General features: G+C 48.8%; 2 protein-coding genes and 1 long non-coding RNA gene across 31 annotated transcripts in view, besides 1 other annotated feature; 1 reads left to right on the plus strand and 2 right to left on the minus strand.

The window, feature by feature from the left end:
* CPEB1 (cytoplasmic polyadenylation element binding protein 1) overlaps window positions 1–8532 on the minus strand; it is a 105595-nt gene extending 97063 nt beyond the window's left edge. For 8 of the 26 annotated variants that reach the window (NM_001387076.1, NM_001288819.2, NM_001387068.1 and 5 more), the window contains exon 1: window positions 6874–7100. Coding sequence is in view for 2 of the 26 variants with exons in the window: in NM_030594.5 (NP_085097.3) it covers window positions 7593–7607 (15 nt within the window). In the remaining 24 variants the exon portion in view is untranslated. Of the gene's footprint in view, window positions 1–393; window positions 603–1361; window positions 1420–6873; window positions 7101–7173; window positions 7346–7592; window positions 7788–7956 lie in introns of those variants that run through there. The other 18 variants (NM_001365245.1, NM_001365246.1, NM_001365240.1 and 15 more) reach the window with 11 other exon arrangements.
* Window positions 7320–7889: a silencer, noted in NCBI's record as "silent region_6750". NCBI's record gives its function as "represses an Ori minimal core promoter by ATAC-STARR-seq in GM12878 lymphoblastoid cells {active_cell/tissue: GM12878}" and the evidence as "EXISTENCE:reporter gene assay evidence [ECO:0000049][PMID:35858748]".
* The window catches only part of CPEB1-AS1 (CPEB1 antisense RNA 1), a 45051-nt gene continuing 30563 nt past the window's right edge, over window positions 7507–21994 (plus strand). The window contains exons 1-3 of the long non-coding RNA NR_046096.1: window positions 7507–8545; window positions 9508–9678; window positions 9766–9883. This is a non-coding gene — a long non-coding RNA (CPEB1 antisense RNA 1). The remainder of the gene's footprint in view (window positions 8546–9507; window positions 9679–9765; window positions 9884–21994) is intronic.
* The window catches only part of AP3B2 (adaptor related protein complex 3 subunit beta 2), a 50595-nt gene continuing 47618 nt past the window's right edge, over window positions 19018–21994 (minus strand). For 3 of the 4 annotated variants that reach the window (NM_001278511.2, NM_004644.5, NM_001278512.2), the window contains 4 exons: window positions 21905–21989; window positions 21562–21659; window positions 19582–19720; window positions 19018–19447 (listed from right to left, as the gene is read on the minus strand). In NM_001278511.2, coding sequence (NP_001265440.1) covers window positions 19297–19447; window positions 19582–19720; window positions 21562–21659; window positions 21905–21989 — 473 coding nt within the window. In that variant the 3' untranslated portion in view covers window positions 19018–19296. Of the gene's footprint in view, window positions 19448–19581; window positions 19721–21561; window positions 21660–21904; window positions 21990–21994 lie in introns of those variants that run through there. The other variant, NM_001348441.2, reaches the window with a different exon arrangement.

The raw sequence follows: 21994 nt of genomic DNA on the forward strand, positions 1-21994 counted from the left end.
ACAGGTGCCACAACTAGCTTGCTTTTTCTTCAGATTTTGAATATTATGAATAAAACTGCTGTGAATATTCTTGTGCATGCCTTTTTATACTCATATGTGCTCATTTCTCTTGCACATAGGAACACAAGTGGACTACCAGGTCATAAGCTAGTACCCCTTGCGCTTAAAATTCTAGCAATACTGTACTTCTAGTTGCCTAAAAACAGCCCTGTTTCATATCTCCTTGTCCTTATACATGTTGTTCCTTTTGCCTAGAATGTCCTTCCCACTCCCTACACTATGCCTGTTTTGGCAATAACCTTTAAATCTTTTACCTGCCTACTTCTGATGTTATTTCTGATGAGGAAAAGGAAGAAATTGGTTCTGTTTTTATATCTGCTGGGTTTAACATACCTCAGATAGATACACGCATTCGGTAGTCCAATCAGAAGTATAAGTCTTCAGAACAACCAAGGCTAAAGAGCTCAATCTAAAACTTGGGCACACAACAGTCAACTGGTGCTTCTATAGGAACACATGGGTCTCCTGTATATATAAGGAGACAGGAATGATCCAACAGGGTTGAACTGTGAAGAATGCGGCATTTGGGGAGAAAAGGAAGCCTGCAAGTACCAAGACAAGACAAGATTGATCAGATAAGGAAAAAAAAAAAAAAGGAAGCCATAGTCTTACAAACCAAATGGACATTTCAAGTACAATAAGAGACCAACACAGCAGAGGTAAGAGTGTATGAATTTTACAAATAGTACTAGTCTAGAAATGAGAAAACGTGGGTTCAAGTTCTGTCTCTATTCCCTGCTCACAGTATAAAATTAGGGTAATCACTTTCCATTCTAAACTTAATTCTCCTAGTCCATGAAAAGAGGATGTCAGAGATTATATCTGGCTTTGGTGTCAACTCCAAGTTATATGTAGGAGACAGGTCTCTAACACCTTTTGAGCTTCACAACAATTCCAAGATTACAGCTTTAAAAAAAAACAAAAACAAAAACAAAAAGCCTCAGGAGAAAGGGCAGACACATGGGAGACAGACAGATGGTGTCAGGGCCAGAACCCAGGAGCACAAAGCCAGAATGCAGAGAGCACAGGTGTTAAGTAGTAAGAGATTAAGTGTTCTGTAAAAAGACACAAAAAAACCAACCTGCCCTTCACAGTAACTGTTCTCTTCCAACAGAGGAGAGCTACTCCCACACTTTTATCAAAGGGGATTGTAGGAAGTGGGGCTAAATCTGTCAGGATGGTACATAAAGCAGCATATTATGCTGGCCAAGAATAAAGAAACAAGTAACACTCTTAGTCAAGTTACTCCTAAAATCAATAGCTACTTGCAACCAAGACCCGTTTTTAGCATACAAACCAACCTTTAGACCTGCCCTCTGGGGATTCTCCTGTTACCTCAGGGGAACTCATCACGAATGCCTTAAATAAATCAAAACAAAGAGTGTTAACTCACTATAATTTAAAAGGACTGTTCCACCATTCAAGAATACAAAAAAAAAAAAAAAGAATTCAAAGGTTATCCATGCCTAAGTGTTCTCCTGAACTACTGAAAGTAAAGCTCAACCCCAGTCAGTCAGGAATCCTCCCAGGTCCAAGTTAATCAAAACCACATTATATATTAGGGTGGCAAAATAATCCCTAACATTGGGCTTTAAAATGACACCTAATAAAATTCATTGGAAATTACATCTACAATGTGAATTTAGCACTCTGAAATTTGGATACTAACTTTTTACAGCAAGTCAGATAATTTTCCTATGAAAATATGAAATATTACATCATACATGTTTTAGTTCAATCTTTTTCAGCTAGTTTACTATAATTGAGAAATGCACTGTTGGGGCAGGTCCTATCTTCAACATAAAAACTTTCTACGGAATCTGTGCTCACAGAAGATGAGACGCTCTAAAGCAGGCTGCAACAACGGCAGGAAAAAACTAAGGGCATTTCCAAAACTGCAATGTTGGGTGCAAAGGAAGCAAAGTTCATGGTGACCAAAAAGCTTTAAGAGCCTGCATGGTGGCTCATACCTGTAATCCCAATACTCTGGGAGGCTGAGGCAGGAGGATGGCTTGAGCCGAGGATAAGCCTGGCCAACATAGTGAAACCCCATCTCAAAGAAAAAATTTTTTAAAAAGTAGCCAAACATGTTGAATGGCTGTAGTCCTAGCTACTTCGGAGGCTGAGGCTGAAGGATCCCTTAAGCCAGGGAGCTTTGAGGCTGCAGTAAGCTGTGATTGCACCACTGCCCGCCAGCCTGGGTGACACAGTGAGACCTTGTCTCAAAAAAAACCTTAATAATAAAATCTTAAAAGGCTTAAGAAACGGTAAAGGGTGCAATCAGTGCTTCTGGGTCTTAATTCAAACAAGAGAAGCAAAATTCTTACATAACCCCCTCTACCATAACTTCTAGGTGCAAACCACGTCCTACCCTTTAGCCTCAGGGGCTTTCTGGCAAATTCTCCCCAGAGTCAGTACAGTTTATATACCGCCTAGGAAAAGCACATTTGCAGAACAGGATGAGATTAGCACAACTTCTCCATAGCAGAGAAAATAATTTGTTATTTGATCCCATGATTCTTTTACTGCCTCCAATACTAGCTACTAAAAACAGTGTAAACATTAATATTTAGGTTTGGTGTGCATTTCTGTCTCAAACTGTAAGCCAAAAGTACTAATACTCTAATTTTCCCTTAAAATAAACATAACTTTAGAAAATAATCATTTAGCTAAGGGACCTGAAACCAATGAATGAGAAAGCCTGCACAGACAACACCTAACGTTATAAATGCAAAAATAACACCAGCAGAGAGCTACTTTAGTCACCTCACCCTTCCCCTCCCCAGCACACTCCACACCCCCAAATCCACAAACACTGAACTCATAGCTGAGTGCCTTGCTGGTAAAGGTTGCTAAGAAGCAGCTAGAGGCAGGTAACATTTTAAAGTTTTCATCTTTCCAAAAACTTTCCAGGATACAGGTAAGAAAGCTATCTAGCTTGTGTCTGAGTTTACATTCTCACAGAAAAAAATTCTTTGGCAAAAGCTCTGAATATGCTTTTTACTCCTTTAAATCCTTGGGAATGAGGCTGGGCACGGTGGCTCACACCTGTAATCCCAGCACTGTGGGAGGCTGAGGCGGACAGATCACGAGGTCAGGAGTTCGAGACCAGCCTGGCCAATATGGTGAAACCCCATCTTAGTAAAAATACAAAAATTAGCCGGGCGTGGTGGCGCGTGCCTATAGTCCCCACTACTTGGGAGGCTGAGGCAGAAGAATTGCTTGAACCCCAGAGGCGGAGGTTGCAGTGAGCCGAGATTGTGCCACTGCACTCCAGCTTGGGCAACAGAGTCTCCATCTCAAAAAAAAAAAATCCTTGAAAATGAAATATAGGAAAAAAAAAATGTACATACCCCTTTACATCCGTAAGTGTGGCTGTGTACAATGCTGGGATTCTAAGTTTTATCCAGAATTGAAACCCCAGCCCCTCATTTCTGGGGCAGGGCTATTTTATGCCCCGGGAGCTTATCTCAGATTTTACCACAGACTGCTTTAAAAAAATTTTTTTTAACCTTTATTAATTCTTCCTGGAAATCTAAGAGACAGCATTATGGGAATCTTAGCTAAGACAGACAAGGTGAGATTTAGTAAGCTCCATGTTACTTTTACAGGTCTTAAAACAATTATATAATTTCAAATTTGCCTTGCCTCAGACAGAAAAAGTTAGTACTGAAATTTTAACTGTCCTGAAAAAAAGGAGCCTTTTGTGCAGAGGGTTGGGAGGGTCACCCCCACAGTGGGAGGAGCCTGCCTTCCCCAGACCTCCGGCTCTCAGGATCAGCTAACTGCTCTGACATACATTGTGGAATGATAGACACAGCACATTCCTCCTAACATCAGCACTGCTGTACTAACACTCAGAAGACCCACACTGACTTCTACAGCAACTGGGATTCCTGCCAATGCAGTTAAGGTTCACTTTGCCTATAAATGTGACCAGCTCCCAGACCACCACCTTTTTTCTAGAATGTACGCCACCAATAACCCCTTGATCCTTTGACATAACAGAACACACATAATAGGCTGGGCTACGGCACCAGAAGGACCTAGGTTCACACAATTCCATCACTTAACAGCCTTGTGACTTGATTTCTAAAGCCTGTTTCCTTTTCTGCAAAACAGCGGGGAAATCCAAAACGGATGTTTTAAGACAGATTCCAAACTAGCCTTCAGGTTGAATCCAACATTAAAGACATGTTACATTTGGTCTATAGTGTTTAAAATTTTTTTAATGCTACATTTAAAAGTCAGGAGATCCATCAAAATAGAGATAGCCAGTTTAGAAGCAAGTCAAAGATCCACCGACTCTGGGCCCACATTTTTGCTGAGCAACAATCAGCTAGTGGCTGCTCCTTTCAAAGAGGCACATACTCTGTAGTTCAGAAGCCATTACCTTTCTTTCCTCCTCCTTTGCTCATTTATGTTACCTCTGGCCCCTATAGGGTTTGAGTTTGCAACCCATTTTAAAGACTAAGAATAAAACTAATGGTTGTGCTCAGTGAAAATGCTTATTAAGGCAGCTATTATCATTTGGTCACTAGTTAAGTTTGGTGCTGAGCCTGGAGTCTTACTACTTTATCTTCCTCCTCCACTTTTTACTTCATGGGCACTGGTTTGTGCACTACAGCGAAAGAAAAGCACATAGAACCATTCCTGTATCAAACGCCTATGGCCTAACCCAAACTGCAAACGGTTCCATGATTATTCACCACAGGCATCAGCTCTCCAACCTCTGATGTGCTGCACAGGCTGGCACAACCTCCCTCCCACACATGGGAGCCTAGACCAGGGAGTTGTTTACAAGACAAACGGTTCGGAGGGGGGAAACCAAGTTTTGTTTTGTTTTTTGAGACGAAGTCTCGCTCTGTCGTTCAGGCTGGAGTGCAGTGGCTGATCTCGGCTCACTGCAACTTCCACTTCCTGGGTTTAAGCGATTCTCCTGCCTCAGCCTCCCAAGTAGCTTCGATTATAGGCGCCCACCACCATGCCCGGCTAATTTTTGTATTTTTAGGAGAGACGGGAATTCACCTTGTTGGCCAGGCTGGTCTTGAACTTCTGACCTCAGGTGATCTGCCCGCCTGGGCCTCCCAAAGTGCTGGGATTAAAGGCGTGAGTCATGGGGCCGGGCCGTACTTTTTTATTACAAAGGTTGACTTACACACAGAGTAGTCAACTTCCAAATCCTACTTCTATAAACTGAGCAGGCACTACCAGGCCACCCAAAGTTTAAATCGCCGTGACAAAAAATTTAAAAAGCGAAACTCAGCCAGGCAAGGGGGCTCACGCCTGTAATTCCAGCCCTTTGGGAGGCCGAGGTGGGCGGATCACGAGGTCAGGAGTTCGAGACCATCCTGGCTAACATGCTGAAACCCCATCTCTACTAAAAATACAAAAATCAGCCGCGCGTGGTGGCACGAGCTTGTAATCCTAGCTACACAGGAGGCTGAGGCAGGAGAATCGCTTGAACCCGGGAGGCGGAGGCTGCAGTGAGCCAAGATCGCGAGACTGCATTCCAGCCTGGGTGACAGGGCAAGACTCCCTCTCAAAATAAATAAATAAATAAATAAATATTAAAAAATAAAAAGCCAAACTCCTACAGCAACGTGCTCTGGGAATACAGTTCAGCTCCAAGCCAGCTCAATGGGGACAAATAAAAGACCAGTGATGAGTCCCCAAAACACCGTCCCCAGGGTTTTCCGACAGCCAGCAGCCCCATTGAGCTCCACAAGCTTTTCTAACTATGCAAAAAACCAACCAGGAAAACAATCACCAACTTGAGGTTTCCAAGGTTGGGTCCTGTTTGAATTTATTTTTATTTTTTAACCCAGCATGTGTCCCTAGACTCAAAGGGAACATGAGCCTCAGGGTGCAAACTGTCCTTAGCAGACACTCTTCCCGCTAGCAAGGGACCGCACCGTCACCTGAGGGGCAGCCAAGAGGCGGGCGGTGCACCTGTGCCTTCCAGAATAGGAACCCCACCCACTTGCCCCTCTTCCCCACCAACGACACAGCCCAGTAGTTGACTCAGGTGCCAGGAGAGAGCGCGGGGAGGCTGGGCGGTAGCCAGGGAGACCAAGGGAAGCGGTTGCCAGAGAAATGCGGCGTCAGTCAGGGCCGGGGCTGCAGGCGCGGGGCGGGGGAGGAGAGACGCGGCCTCCTCCCAGGCGGGCCTGGCGGGAGGCACCCCGGCTTCTAAGAGCGAATTCGGCTCCCGACTCTCTTCCCCCAGCTGAGAGCACGGTGCAAGGGGCCAGGGCTGCAGGGAGCAAAGTGCCCCCGAAAAATAAGCGCGCGCCCACGAAAGCGCCCAAGAGCCCAGGCGTCTGCCTGGCTTTTCTCGGTCACGGGGTCAACGCGGGGCCGCTCACAGAGCCTTCTGGTCTCCCTGGGTCCTCTAGGAATGAGGCAGCAAAGCCTCGGTCGACTCGACCGCTGAGGAACCCATGACATGAAAAAGCCTCGGGGAATGACGCCGGGTGGGACACCCCAAGGTGAGGACCCCTTTGTGGGTGAGTCCCCCCACACTCAGGTGACTCCAGGCGGGCACAGGCCCGCCCAACCGCTCGTCATCACGGGGGGCGACTCGTCCAGGGCCCCAGCCGCTGCTCCGCCAAACCTGAGGCCGCCCCTGAGTCTGGGCACCTGGCCTCGTCCGGCACTGAGGAGAATGACCAGAACGCCAGGCCACATGCACCCACTCGCCAGGCTGAGGGTCCGAACAGCACAGCCCAGAGTGGGCTCGGGTCGCTCCCCGCCTACGCCACCTCCGCGGCCTGCAAGCCTAACCCTCTCCCGCCCATGACCAGGACCCACCTCAATGCCGCCAGCCCGGCGGGTCTCCCGGGCACGAAGCCCCGCCAGTCTTCCGCCCTCGCGCCACACTACCTGGCCAGCCCCGCCCCCGAGACTCCCTCTCCGGCGCCAAGCGAAGGTGTGAAGCCACGTGACCTGCCCAGGATTGGGAAGCCGCACGAGGGGCTTGAGCCCTCCACCTTAAAGGTGCCGCGACCGCCGCCGTCGTGGGGCTCTCCACAGAGCACGGGGTCTACGCCGTCAGCAGCCCCGCCCCGTCCCGCCCGGGCGCCCCCACCGCGCGCCGGGTGCTAAAGAGACCCGCAGGGGGCGTGAGCTTCCAGCGCCAGCGGCTTCGGGTCTCCCGTGCGACGGCAGTGTGAGAAAGAAACGTTCCGGGCGCCGGTGCTCCTTTATGTCCGGTCAGCTCCCGTCTGGACAGACGCTCGAGGCCGCCTGGAGGCCGCAGTGCGGCTCGGAGGCCCCACCGGCCGCCCCCGCAGGGCTGCGGCGCCTTTAAGCCCAAAGGCCCTGAGTCACGAGGAGGCTCCCTGCCCCCCTCGCCCTCCACCCCTCCACGAGGCCCCACGCCCGCGGGCACGTGACCGCGCCCCGCCCGGGACTCGCCCGCACGGGGCGGGGGATGGGGGTACCGCGGCGCCGGACCCGGCTGCGCGCGGACCGTTAGCTACTGCGGCCGGGACGCGGCCCCGCCCAGGCGAGCGGCGGGTGGCTCTTACCAGCGGGAACGCCATGGGGCCGGTGTGGCCCTGCGGGGCTGACGGGCTGACCGGCCAGCCGGCGGGCGAGAGACGCGCACGCACGTGGGCACTATTTTTGCAGCGGGCCGCGCGCAGCCCCGCACCCCGGCAGCTTATGAAGCTCCTACGAGCCGCTCCTCGGAGCCGCCCCCCGGCCGGATGCGGAGCACCTGTGTCGGCCCCGCCCGGGCCCTCGCCTCCGCCCCCTCGCGCCCCGCCCCTCCTAGCAGGCCGAGCCGAGGAGGGCTCCGCCGCCCACCCGGAACCCGGCGGGGACTGCCGCCGCTGCTAGCCACAGCTGCCCCCTGGGGGGCCAGAGACCTAAGCCTGAGCGCGCCATCACCTAAGTGACCCTTGCCGAGTCACTGTCTGCCCTGGGCCTCAGTTTCCCTCTTAACGAAAGAGGGCACGATTTACAAGCCCCTGCGAGCGGCGGCGATCGCTTCGTCAGTAGAGCCTCGTGTCCGCGCTCCTTCTCTTCCAGTGATCTCTCCAGGGCGAGAGCCTGCCCTGGCATCCTTGGTCGGAACTGTAGCCCCTGGGCTCCAGGAGGCGCACTCACTTTAGACCCTCTGCTCCGTGCGCTGCAGAGGGGGCCGCGAGAGTCAGGAAGTTCCAGAAAGTTCCAAAGACATCACTGGTCCTCTTTGGACCGGAGTTCTCCGGAGAAACCGCTTCCGGCGCTCCTGACACACTGAGATAGAAAGTTTCACAGAAATAGGGCAAGGGATAGGGCGAGGGCTCCAGGGCAGGCGTCCTAGGGCACCTGGCGCAGGGGCGGACCGGAAACCCCAGGCAAACGCAGAGTCGGAGATGGCATTCCAGGCGGAAGATCAAGCAAAGGCAGAGAGGGAGGACGGCACCGAGCGGCTCCCTCTGACCAGGACTGAGGATGATGCGACCTGATACCGCCGGAGGGAAGCCTGGGCCCGGTTTGTAAGGGGCCTTTATTCTGCAGACAGCAGGAAAACTATTAGAGAATTGTAAAAGGGGTTGGCAGTTGTCGGGTCTGTTTTAAGGTGTTGCTGGAGACATAGAAGAGGTTGGACAGAAAAGGGGGAAAACAAGGGACTGGAGTGGGGAGGAAAGGGACCAGAGTTTATTGAACATTGCTAAGTGTTTTACATGTGTCATGTTATCATGATACTATTTAATAAGCACTAACTATGCTCCGGTCCTCTCCTGGCACTTAGGAAGGATGGTGCTGCCGTCTTCCTGGGCTTGATCTAATGGCTAAGGGGAGAGGGACAGGTAACTGTCAGTTTCTGCCTGAGGTGATGGAGAAAGAGGAAGCTGATATTATAGTCTAGTGTTTCAGAAGGATTAAGGGGGGAAGGGTGGTGAGCATAAGAGTAGAAGTCCACGAGGGGGTGAGTGACAGTGGGAGTTGGCCAGTCTCCATCCACTTGGTCTACTTACAGGAGCTTCTTTGGGTTGCTGAGGTCATGGGCAGAAAGGGTGATGACTACAGGGACAAGGCAGGAGCAACTTCGCTGGGACCCCTACCTCTTGAGCCATGCTTTCTCCAGGAGTAGCCTACTTGAGTCTTGTCCTGGCCCACAAGCAGCGTAGGATGGCTGCTTCTGATAGGGTGGCACACCCAGATGCCTACAGCACAGGAGCCAAGTGAGGGTGGGCGACAGCACTGAAGGCCCAAGGCACACCCAAAAGGGCTGTTAGCTGGTGGGCACCATGTAGAAACGAGGTCCCAGCCCAGTCATCTTTCAAGAAAAGCTGGAAGTACTTTTTTAAGTGAAATCTTGAATGTGAATTTTAATGTTGGTTATTAATTCAAATGAAAAGAGCCAAGCCCAGCATGTCCAGGGGCCCCATGCAGCTCACCGGCTGCCAGTTTGTGATCCCTGACATCGTTTCCTCCTCTCTGACCCAAAAGCTGAGCAAGATAAGAACCTGAAACCCAGAATAGTGCCCAAGGGAGCGGGTGTCTGGAGGCCCTGTCATATTTCAAAACTGTCAACCATAAGAAAATGAAGGCATCTTTCAAGAGACTTGGAACAGAAACTTCTGCTGCCTAAAATCTCTCTCCCTAAACTTTCTGTTGCAGGTAATAATAATAGCTCGTCTTCACTGACCACTTACTGTGCGCGTGGGAAAGTTTTGAGTGCTTTACCTATGTTATCTCATTTTGCAGATGAGACTGAAGCTCAAAGAAGTTAAGTAACTTGCCAAAAGACTCCCAGCTAAAAGTGTGAGAGCAAAGACTCAAACCAAGGCAGTCTTCTGGTTTCAGAGCCTGAAGTCTTAACCAGGTGAGAATAAAACTTCCAGCATGCTTATGTGTGTGCTTATCTGTGAATGACCCCAGAGCTGACTGCAGATGTTGAGAGAAGAGGTAACTTTGACCAAATGCAGTCATGACCTCAGGTGTGGGCAAGTCCTTGTTCCCTACCTGGACTTGGCTAGGCCTGCAGGTCATACAGGAAGAACAGTCCCTCTGAAGGTGACCATAATCCACAGGGCAGGGTGTGGAAAGTGACAGAGGTGAATTTATTAAATGACTTGGTCAAGTCCCCACAGCTGGTCACTGGCAGAAGCAGCAGAAACAAATAGGCAGCATTATCTATTCTCCCAGTCAACAAACAGCCTTTGAGCCCAGCTATGCCTGGCACTGTCTCTGCAGTCAAGCCCCAGACTTACAATACTGATTTTAAGTCCAACTATATAATTAGCTGGACTACATTTTAAATATGTGTACTAGGGAAACAGGAGGGACCCTATAGTCTTTTATATGCTCAAGTGTTCAGTGCTTCTGCAGGAGGCAGAGAGCTAAAAGAAGAGAGAAGTTTGATGGGAGAAAATAATTTCCTGGTTGCAAAAGATAAGAAAAGGAATTCACTCAGGAACTCAAGACCACAAGGTAGACACACACAGTCTCTGCTCAAGTTTTGCCAAGCTCTGTACAGAAGAAACCATGTTCTTTGTTTTTTCAAGTTCCTTTTAAGTGGGATAAAAAAGTGGATTGGGGCCAGGCGCGGTGGCTCATGCCTGTAATCCCAGCACTTTGGGAGGCCTAGGCAGGCAGATCATGAGGTCAGGAGATCGAGACCATCCTGGCTAACATGGTGAAACCCCGTCTCTACTAAAAATACACACAAAAAATTAGCTGGGCATGGTGGTGGGCGCCTGTGGTCCCAGCTACTTGGGAGGCTGAGGCAGGAGAATGGCATGAACCCAGGAGGCGGAGCTTGCAGTGATCCGAGATCTCACCACTGCACTACATCCTGGGTGACAGAGCGAGACTCCATCTCAAAAAAAAAAAAAAAAGAAAGAGTGGATTGGCCCCACCTTTCATCGTACACAAAAGTAAGTTAAAAATACAATTCTGAAAAGCTTTACTTAGAATTTTTTCAGAAGAAAATATAGGAGAATTTTTTTTTACCTCAGCCCGTGGATGAATTTTGTAAACTTGGAAAAATAAGATTGGAACAATAAGCACAGGATATAAAGGAAGACAATACATTTGACCACACTGGAATTAAAAACTTTGGTTTACTAAAAGAGTTTGTTTGTTTGTTTTGAGGTGGAGTCTTGCTCTGTCGCCCAGGCTGGAGTGCAGTGGCACGATCTCGGCTCACTGCAATCTCAGCCTCCCGGGTTCAAGCAATTCTTCTGCCTCAGCCTCCAGAGTAGCTGGGATTACAGACACCTGCCACCGCACCCGGCTAATTTTTGTATTTTTAGTGGAGACGGGGTTTCACCATGTTGCCCAGGCTGGTCTCGAACTCCTGACCTCGTGATCCGCCCGCCTCGGCCTCCCAAAGTGTTGGGATTAGGCGTGAGCCACCGCCCAGCTAAAGATATTGTTTAAAGCTTGAAAAGACAAGCCATAGACTGGAAGAAGGTATCTCCAATCCATGTATTTACAAAGAACTAGTTTCCAGACTATGTAAGAAGTTCTGTAATCAATGAGGAAAAAACACAACTCCACAGAAAAATGGGCAAAAGATGAGAATGGGCAGTTGACACAAGTGAAAATCCAAATGGCCAAGAAACATCAGTAGATGCCCACCCTCATCAGTAACCAGGGAAATGCAAATGAAACCACAATCAGATGCCGTGCCACACTTTTCAAATGGAAAAAAATGATCAACTTTCACTGTCCCAGTAGCAGGATCACTGCTAGTGAGGGCGTAAACTGATTCAGCTACTTTGGTGTGTGCTTTTATGTTTCATATCTTTTAATGGAGAGAAGGCAATGCATAGAGTGCACAAATCTTTTTTATTTATTTATTTATTTATTTATTTATTTTGAGATGGAGTCTCGCTCTGTCGCCCAGGCTGGAGTGCAGTGGCGAGATCTCGGCTCATTGAAAGCTCTGCCTCCTGGGTTCATGCCATTCTCCTGCCTCAGCCTCCTGAGTAGCTGGGACTACAGGCGCCCGCCACCACGCCCGGCTAATTTTTTGTATTTTTAGTAGAGACGGGGTTTCACCCTGTTAGCCAGGATGGTCTGGATCTCTTGACCTTGTGATCCACCTGTCTTGGCCTCCCAAAGTGCTGGGATTACAGGCGTGAGCCACCACGCCCGGCCACAGTACACAAATCTTAAGTGTATACCGAGGTAACCACCACCCGCATGGAGGCATAGAATCTCTCCAGAACCCCCACTGGGTTCCTTCCTGCCCCTTCCCACTTTATACCTCCCTCCTCAAGGTACCGTTACCTTACTGCTTTTCATTACAGATTCATTTAACCTGTTCTAGACTTCATATAATTTTTGGTTTCTTTCATTCAACATACCTGTTAGATCCATCCATGTTGTTGGCATGTAGGAGTAGTTTGTTCCTTTGTATTGCTAAGTAGTATTCCATTGTGTAGATACACCATAATTTATTTCTGCATTCTCCTATTGATTGGAATTTGAATTCTTTCCACTTCGGGGACTATTATGAATAAAGCTGCTAGAAATATTATTGATGTGAAGTATAGCAACTCTGGTGAGCAATTTGGATTCTCTAGTTAACTTGAAAAAGTGTATACTCTATGACCCAGCAATTCCATTCCTAGGAAAATATGTTAGAGAAACTTTCATACGTGTTAAGAAACATGAGTAAAAATGTCTGTAGCTGTTTTGTTAATAGTTACAAAAACAAAACAAAATAAAATAATCTTAAATGCCCACCAACAGGAGAGTGGATCAATAAATTATGGTATAGTCATACAATGGAATTCTATATATAAGTAAAAGTAAATGAAATACAGCAGATCACATCAACATGACTTACAAACAATATTGAGTGAAAAAGCAGGATGTAGGAGAAAACATACTCTCAGATGCCATTTATATAAAATTTGAAAACGTGTAGTACGCACCACCATCACAAAGTATGGTACTATATATTGTTTAGGAACACGTCTATCTATAGTAAAAGTACAAAAAAAAGGATGTTATTGATAAACAGAAAATTCAGAATGATTTGCTTCAGGTGGGAAAGGAAGCAGTCATGAAATGAGGGGTGTGGGGGACATTGGATTGATGAGCACTGAACTGATGAGTGCTTCAGTTCTCAAGTTGGATGATTAGTATACAGGTGGTTATGATAGTCTCTAAACTTGAAATACATAATAATATTTTAAAGAGACAGAGATGGGGATAATTAAGGGCCGTGATGTGCTGGTAAATGTTTGACAATTGGCTGGGGGAGGGAAGTGATTTGTAGCATTTGTCTCTTTCCATGGCATAAAAACTCCCACCACGGCTGATTTCAAATTGTCAGTGTGACATCATCTGGCTCACAAAATTCCTGAATGTGTAATAACAGTCAGCCCTCATGAGCCAGGAGAAGCCAACTCAGGCACACCACTCAGACACTGAATGTGGGAGCAGAGTGCTCTGAAGGCCAGACTCAGGGATCCAGGCTCCCTGAGGGCTTTCCCAACAACCTAGGAGATGGGTGGAAGGCTGGATTGTATTATTTATTTATTGCTATTAAGTTACCCCTAAAGCTAAGCAGCTTAAAACAACAAATATTTATTATCTTGCACAATTTCTGGGAGTCAGGAATCAGAGAATGGCTTAGCTGGCTGGTTCTGGCTCAGAATCTCTCATGAGTTTGTAGTCATGATGTCAGCCAGAACTGCAGTCACTTGAAGCTCTGCCTTGGGCTGGAAGATCAGCTTCCAAGCTCACTCAAGTGGGTGCCGGCAAAAGCCTCAGTTCCTTGTCACATGGACCTCTCCATATTGCTGCTCAAGACATGGTAGCTGGCTTGAGAGGGAGGAAGAGAACAACCAAGATGGAGGTTCAAAGAATTTTATAACCTAATCTGAGAAATGACATACCATCATTTGTATCCTATTATTCACATAACACCAACATTGATAATATGTGGGAGGGAATGACACAAGGATACAGATATCAGGTAGCAAAGATCATTGGGGAGTATCTTGGAGGTTGAAGGTGAGTGCTGGTTGTCCTGAGATGCTTGTAATGGGTTAGTGGATGCCCAGAGACATGGGAATCAGAGAGGCCATCCCCTTTGTTTTGCAGCTGGGGAAATTGAGACATTCAGAGATTTACTCGAGAGTATGCAGCTTTTCTTGGTGAGGGTCAGGAGTCCAGGGTCTTGGTCTTGCCTTGGTACCCATGAGAAACACCAACCCCACCTCTCCCTCCCTGACTTCCCTCTGAAGGTACAGATGCTGAGGTCTTAGCACATCCAAGGTCAAAGTCACCTTGCCCAAGCTCTCAAGAATTCCTCTTCCTCCATAGGTGTTTCCTTACATTCTTCACAGCCAAAACAAGACAACCCTCCTATTTCCACATACCCTGCCCCTCCCACAGAGGCTGTTGTTAACACATCCCTAATAGCCCCAAAGAGAAGCATCTGCCACTGTGTTGGCATTGCTGGACACAAATCCATGTTGGCCTTCTGAAATCCCACTGCCACTTGGAGCCTGGTGTCAAACTGTTTCAGGACTCTGTAATCTCTCAGCAAAATGAAACACTGCCCCAAACTGGAAGCAGACATGAGGAAGTTGTGCTGCCACGCTTTTTCTTGCTGGATGCTGTTTACATGGGTTATTCAGTCTATGAAAACGCATCAAGTTGAGCACTTGTGATCTGTACAATTTTATGTAGGAATACTATACTTAAATATTCATAAATTTATAAATTATATGTTTACAGATTCATAAATTTAAATACTGAAACTTTAGATTTTTAAAAAAATATATTTCCAAAGCCAGGGGCGTAATGTATTTGGGGCCTGGATAGAGAGAAGCATTCTTTCTGTTCTCCAGATGCCATAGGGAAGCGAAGCCTCAGTGACACCATAGCATCTTCTGCAGCAAGGGGGCAGTTGGTAATGGGAAAATAATGGGGGTTCCCAAAGGTCAGGATCAAAAAGTTCAGCCCTAAGTGCTTTCTTCTAGACAGGTCAGTGGGATTGGGGATGCAGGGAGAGAGACTGGGGTCAAACCAGAGCCATCAAGTCAAAGACCCAAAAAGGTATATACTGCTTCTTTTCCTTGAGGATACGCCACTTTTAATCCTTATTCTCCATATCCCAACCTGGGCTCCACCCTCCCAGGGACCAATTCACCATCCTTCTCTTGACTCTGGGAGCCAAAAGACCAGGTGGTGACAGAAGGAAGACTCAGGCTGAGGTCCTCGGGTGGGTCAGAATTTTCCAGTTTTCCCTTTCCTTTCCAAGCCAGGACAGGGAAAGTCCTCCCACTTTGAGTTCCACCCTCAACACCCATCCTTTTGATGTGGAAGATACACTATTGGGAGGTGACTGTCAAGATGCCAAGCAGAATAGGCTGAACTAGTGCAGGGGTTTGCCTTAGTCACCAGACAGATGGGAGTTCAAGCATGGGCACAGCTAATGTCGCAACTCCAGGGTCCTTGTAGTGGCTTCCTTGGTATCTCTAAATGGATCTATTCCCCCGGGTCACCAGCCACTGCAGCTAGCCAGGTGATGCAGCCTGGCTGGAAACGAGCTGTCTCTCTTGCCCATTTGCCTGGGCATTGTTTTGAAGCCATCCTGGACTAGACTCCAGTTCCCAGCCCCTCTCTGAGCTCATTGTCCTCTGACCCATCAAGGCCTGTGGTCAGGCTCAGACCTAGATCCCCACTGATGCACTACCCCATCCTTGTCACTGCCTCTGTGCCAGTCCCTGTGCTTCTATCCACTTCCAGGCCACTTTCGGCCCTTCCTTTGCACCAGCAGAGTCCTAAGAGTGCTTCCCAGTCCGTCCTGTGGTCCTGGGCCCCACCTGAATCCCACAGCCCTGGGCTAGTTCCCTGGTTGTCCCATCAAAACTATTCATGACTGGCCAGCCATGGTGGTTCATGCCTATAATCCTAGCACTTGGGAGGCCGAGGCAGGTGTTTTGCCTGAGCTCAGGAGTTTCAGACAAGCCTGGCCAACATGGCAAAACCCCATCTCTACTAAAAATACAAAAAATTAGGCTGAGTGCAGTGTCTCACGCCTATAATCCCAGCACTTTGGGAGGCCAAGGCAGGCAGATCACGAGTCAGGAGTTCGAGACCAGCCTGACCAACATGGCGAAACCCCGTCTCTACTAAAAATATAAAAATTAGCCAAACGTGGTGGCACACGCCTGTAATCCCTAATCCCAGCTACTCAGGAGGCTGAGGCACGAGAATTGCTTGAACCCAGGAGGCGGAGGTTGCAGTGAGCGGAGATTGTGCCACCGCACTCCAACCTGGGCAACAGAGCAAGACTCTGTCTCCCAAAAAAAAAGAAAAAAAAAAAAAGGCTGTTCATGGGAAGCATTTTCCCTGCCAACTGAGATCCAGACACTCTGTGACCAGGCCCCTAATAACCTGGGGACAAAGTGTCACCACAGTGGCAAAGACTTGGGCCAGTGATAAAATACAGAATACGATATGGGTTGGGGAAAATGCCCCCGGGGGATGTGGGGGCCCCCAGCCCCTGCAGGTCTGACCTGCTTCCACCTGTGTGTGCTGGGCAGGCCCCCATCTTATCCCTGCACACTCGCTCAGGTATGCTCATGTGGTAGGGTTGTGGGAGGTATGGCCTTGGAAGAGATGGGCTGGGCTGGAACGAGAGCTGGGGCAACCACTCCCCCTTCCTCTGTGACTGAGATTCTCTCACTCCAGACCGTTCACTCAGCACAGAACAGGCCCCATGCTCCTCCTGGGTGGGAAATTGCTGCCCCACCAATCTCCCAGCCCAGCCTTCACCAGCAGCACACCACTCCCCGCTGGGCTCCTTCTGCAGTCATACTCTCCCCTGCCCACACCTTGCTCTCCTGCTTCCTGCCTCTCTCTTTGGTCAAACACCAGAACCATTTCCTTATGAAGAGTTGCTACTGCTAATGCCAAAGCCTGGGACACATTCCAGAGACACCAACACAGAGCCGTGAAGGTTCCAACTCTCTGGACTCTCAGGGTTGGAAATCCCAGTGCCCTTTCCAAGAGGTTCTGGGAACCTGGACTGTACTTGAGGAATGTTGTGGGACTTGCCTTTTGCACTTCTGGTTCCTACAGAATCCCATTTTTTTAAAAGGGGATTTTTTTTTAGAGGTAGGGTCTTGCTAGGTTGTCCAGGATAGAGTGCTATTCACAGGTGTAATAATAGTGCAATACAGCCCTGAACTCCTGGCCTCAAGCAGTTCTCCAGTCTCAGCCTTCTGAGTAGCTGGGACTACAGACACATGCCCAGCTCTACTCTGGGGCTTTTGATATAGAATAAAGGTGGGTAAGGGATTCTCTGATGGTCCTTGTTCAAATTTCTTAGAAAATCACCCTCACCCTCTCTCAGTGCTGTGGGTAGTGCTGATTCAGAGGCAAAAGTAAGACTGAATCTTACTTTTGACTGGAGGACCATCTCAGAATCTGCAGTGACAAAAACAGTGATCCCAGGGAGACTTTGGGGCCCCAGGCTCTCAGGGAAGCAGCAGCTCCAGCAGCTCTCTGGTGTCACAGTGCCCAGCAAGTCCCTGGAGCCAGAGGCAGGGCTGTCCCCTGGCACTGCCTTTGTTCTCCTTCTGTGAGAGGACAGCCACACCTGCTTCACCCCATCTTACCCATGAACAGACATGCTCAGGGATGCCTAAGTGGCAGGGCTGAGGGACAGTATGGCCAAGGGCCTAAAGTCTTGGTCACAGAGGATCAGAGGCTGAGGTTCAACATCTCAAACTAACTGGAGTGTGTTCCTTGTAACCCAGTCAATCAAGATGTTGTGAGGAAAGTGTTCCAAAATCAAAACCAAGTTTGAGTAACACTGCAGGCTGAGAGGTGGTCACAGTGTACATTAGCATAGTAAAAGTTCTGAGAAGACCTGTAGGAAATGAACTTATTTCACTTAAATCCAAGATTCCTAAACTTATTTGATCATAGACTTTGCAGGGGGCGGGAGGGTACAGAACACATCCTAATGGAACACCTTTTATACGTTTTAGAACCACTGCTCACTCAGCCTCTTTCTTCACCAGAAAAGGTGTCAGGGAGAGCCCTGACCCCCACTGCACCCACCAGGTTTGTTCCAGGTGTGAGCAGATGCTGGTGTCTTGTTACAAATACAGAATCTGCTGCTCTGCCTATGGAGTCGCCATTCTGTTGTTTCTTAATAAATTTGCTTTCACATTATTATTATTATTGTTATTATTATCTTGAGACAGAGTCTCACCCTGTCGTCCAGGCTAGAGTGTAATGGCACGATCTCAGCTCACTGCAACCTCTGCCTCCTGGGTTCAAGCGATTCTCCTGCCTCAGCCTCCCAAGTAGCTGGGATTACAGGTGCGCACCACCATGCCCAGCTAATTTTTTGTATCTTTAGTACAGATGGGATTTCGCCATGTTGGCCATGTTGGTCTTGACCTCGTGATTGGCCCACCTCAGCCTCCCAAAGTGCTGGGATTACAGGTGTGAGCCACCACGCCCGGCTGCTTTCACTTAAAAAAAAAATGCAGAATTTCAGACCCCACCCTAGACCTACTAATAGAATCTGCATGTGATGGGATCCCCAGGTGACTTGCCACAAAGTGGTTTGAGAAGTACAGTTATGCATCTTCTATTCTTCCACTAAGATGACCAGTGGGTCAGTACCCCAGCCAGGTGGGGCCTCCAGGCCCCCTAACTGGAGTAGTTGACATATGTTGAACTGAGCACCTGTGTTTGGGGAAGTCCCCATGTTATGAGTCCTTCCTTCCCAAGGGACCGTAAGAAGAACTAAGGGGGTCTGCCAGCCATTGAAGAGGACTTGTTTTTGCAGAGGCTATAAAAAGGACCAAGGTGCTCTTCCAGCTCTGCCTTGCCACCCCAGCCCAGATGTCTCTTCCACAGAGATGCCTGCAGACTCCTAGGCATCCTGACCCAGAGATGGTTACCTTGGGGATTCAACAAGAGTTGTTCCTGACAAACCCCTAGAAGGAAAGGTGAGCCAGCAGCTAGAGAGAAGACATTTTATTGAGCCTGCTACATAAATAGCTACAGAAATCTGGGAGGACTGAAGGGAGTGGCTGCCATCTCTCTCTGCACAGATCACTAAGGAATCCATGGGGAGGGCATTAGGGGAGGGCTTGGTCCTCCAGAGGGAGAGAGGACACCCTGAATGCTATCTGGCATGAGGAGGATGATGAGAGAGAGAGAGAAAGATGAGAGAGACTGACAGCCTAGGTGTCATGGGGAGGTATAGATGGGAGCCAAACAGGTCACAGCATTTGGAAGTCACTGGGTCAGAGCCTGTATCACATCCTTTACCAGCATGGTGCCAATCACCATTTTCTCGCTGTTGACAGTCAGCTGGGCAGCTCCAGCTGGCCGGGCATCCAGGGTCAGCAGAACGAGGCTTCCACCAGTCAGTGTCCTCCCTGCAAACCTGAGGTGGGAATAGAAGGGGTGAGGAAGAGCTGCTAAGGGTGACTGTGTTTGGAAGGGGATCAGCAGCTGGGGCTCCTCCTTCAAACCAGGGCCCCCATGCTCATCATTTCCCCTCTACTGGTGGCCTAGTACCTGTACTCATCAGATGTCCCACAAGGAACACGACCCAGGTTGGCAGTGGCAGTCACTTTCTGCACCACAATGTGGTCACTCCGACAGGTGTCTGGCAGCATGAGTTTCTCTGTGATCTCATTCATGCCCATCAGCTTTCCTGGGGGTAGAGGTCGTGATGAGGGCAGAGGCCATGGTGGGTACAGAGGCCAGCACCTGGGTCTGCTTACTGAGCAACAAGTTCTCCCAGGCTGGGAAGGTATCATGCAAAGGGCAGGTCAGAATTTAAATCATCAGTCTTGGGGAGAAGGTACTTCCCTCTCAGACTGGGCCCTCCCTCAGGAAGCCTTTGTCAGCCTCTCTACCCCTCCCACCCAGGCCTTTATCCATGTTGTTACCAAAGACTGATTTGGCGCTTCCTCCATCAGACATCTGGGCTACCAGCCCCTTGAGAGTGGCCAGTCAGTTCTTAAGAGGTTCGCCCATCCTGAACCTCACACCCTTTGATCTTTCCTGGGGGGCCCTCCAACCCACATTCAACTCCCACTCAGCTCCTGGAAGCTAAGCCCTCACAAAAAGATCACAGGTGGCTGCTGTGATCTCTCAGCCAGAATCCAGTAGTCACATGCAGCATTCACAGGTACATTTTTAATTGTACCTCTGCAGTAGCAGCTCCAGACCTAGCCAGGGCTCCTGAAGCCTCCAAACCTTCACAGCACCCCCAGAACTCCTCATTCTGCAAGGCTGACTTCTCTCCACTCACATGATCCAGGCCCCCCATGGGAGCTCCTCCGTCTGCTCTCCTGCACACCAGCAGTCTTCTCTTCAGCCTCTTTCCTCCCTCCACTGCTTCCCCTATTCTTCACCTCCTTTTAGAAACTGACATCCCTCTCCTGTTTCTTCTATCCCCTTCATTCATGACTAATAACATTTTCTTGTTTTTGTTCCTTCAATCTGTTCATGTTCAAGTGTCCCCGTCTCCAAAAAATCCTTTCCAGAAGTGAGATCCTTCATCGTGCCAATGCCCTGTCTCCCTCCTCATTCATGGCTAAAGTCCTCCAAAGAGGACTGCATGTACTTGAGCCGTGGTCTCCCTCAACCCACTGCAGTTGGCCTCTGTCCCTCCTTTAGCAATGACCCTCTCTCCCTCAGGTTGGCAGTAGCCTTTTATATGCTGACTCTGAAGGTCTTAGGTAACTGTGGTTTGCAGACACCTTCTGCCTTGTTGTCTCTCCTGGTTCTCCTCCCACCTCTCCCTGTGCTCCTTCTCTTATCCCTCCCCTCCTCTTTCTTCTGCAGAATTCAGGTTTTCCCCCAAGGTTCTGTCCTTGGCCTTCCTATTTTCTCCCACCTCCCAGAGTGATCTCATTCATATTCACAGCTTCCATTACCACCTCTATGTTCATGACTCCAGCTTCAAAGTGTTTCCTGGGCATAGACCCATATTTTCAGTTGCATACTAAATAGCTCCTCCTGAATTTCCCAAATGCATTTCAAAATCAGCTTATCCAAAACTAACCATGATCTTCCCTCCTCCCTTGCCCAAGCCACTCTTCTTTCTTCTAGGCCAGAGGTTTTGCAAATTACAGCCTCCAGACCAAATCCAGCCCACCACCTATATGGCCCACAATGTTTTTAATATTTTTTAAGTGTTGGGGGAGCAATCAAAAGATTAATATTTCATGACACATGAAAATTACATGAAATTTAAACTTCAGTATCTATAAATATAAATGGAAATTTCTTGGAACACAGCCATACTCGTTCATTTACATACTGTCTGTGGATGTTTCTATGTTTCAACAGCCACAGTCGTGTTGTAACTGCAACAGAGACCACATGATTCTCAAAGCCTAAAACATTTATCTTTGGCCCGTTACAGAAAGTTTGCTGACCCCTGGTCTAGATGAAGGACACCACCATTCTCCCTACCATCCAAGCTGGACATTCTGGAGTCAGCTTCTATACTTCCCTCTCTGCCCACTCCCAGGGAGCACTCACCCTGTTCCTTCTTAAACTCATTTTCACTCATGAACACAGGGGCCATCAGCTCCCCAACAGGTGGCTGAATGGAGACGTAGAACTGTCGGGTCTGGGTGCTGGGAGGGGTGGGAGGAAACGGAGAAGAATTAAGGCTGTCATCTCTCCCCTCACTTCCCACCCTGTGTAGAGGCACAGCTTGGAGGCAGTGAAAGAGTGAGGTCAGGAATGAGGGCCTGAGATGGCTTCCAGACCCACCCAATCATGATGTATCCCCACTAAGCACCACCTCCATTTCCAGTTCATTGTTACCCTGTCCCTTTCCAGCCCATCCTCTCACCCCCACCTCGAGTTGGGCACATACCACAGCTGGAAGTTGGCTGCCTGGGTTGAGTCACAGAAATTAATGCCCATTACAGCAGTGGCAGATTCTCCAGGTGCCAGGGACTCTGAA

Source organism: Homo sapiens, chromosome 15 (assembly GCF_000001405.40).
Source record: "Homo sapiens chromosome 15, GRCh38.p14 Primary Assembly".
Classification (NCBI taxonomy): domain Eukaryota; kingdom Metazoa; phylum Chordata; class Mammalia; order Primates; family Hominidae; genus Homo; species Homo sapiens.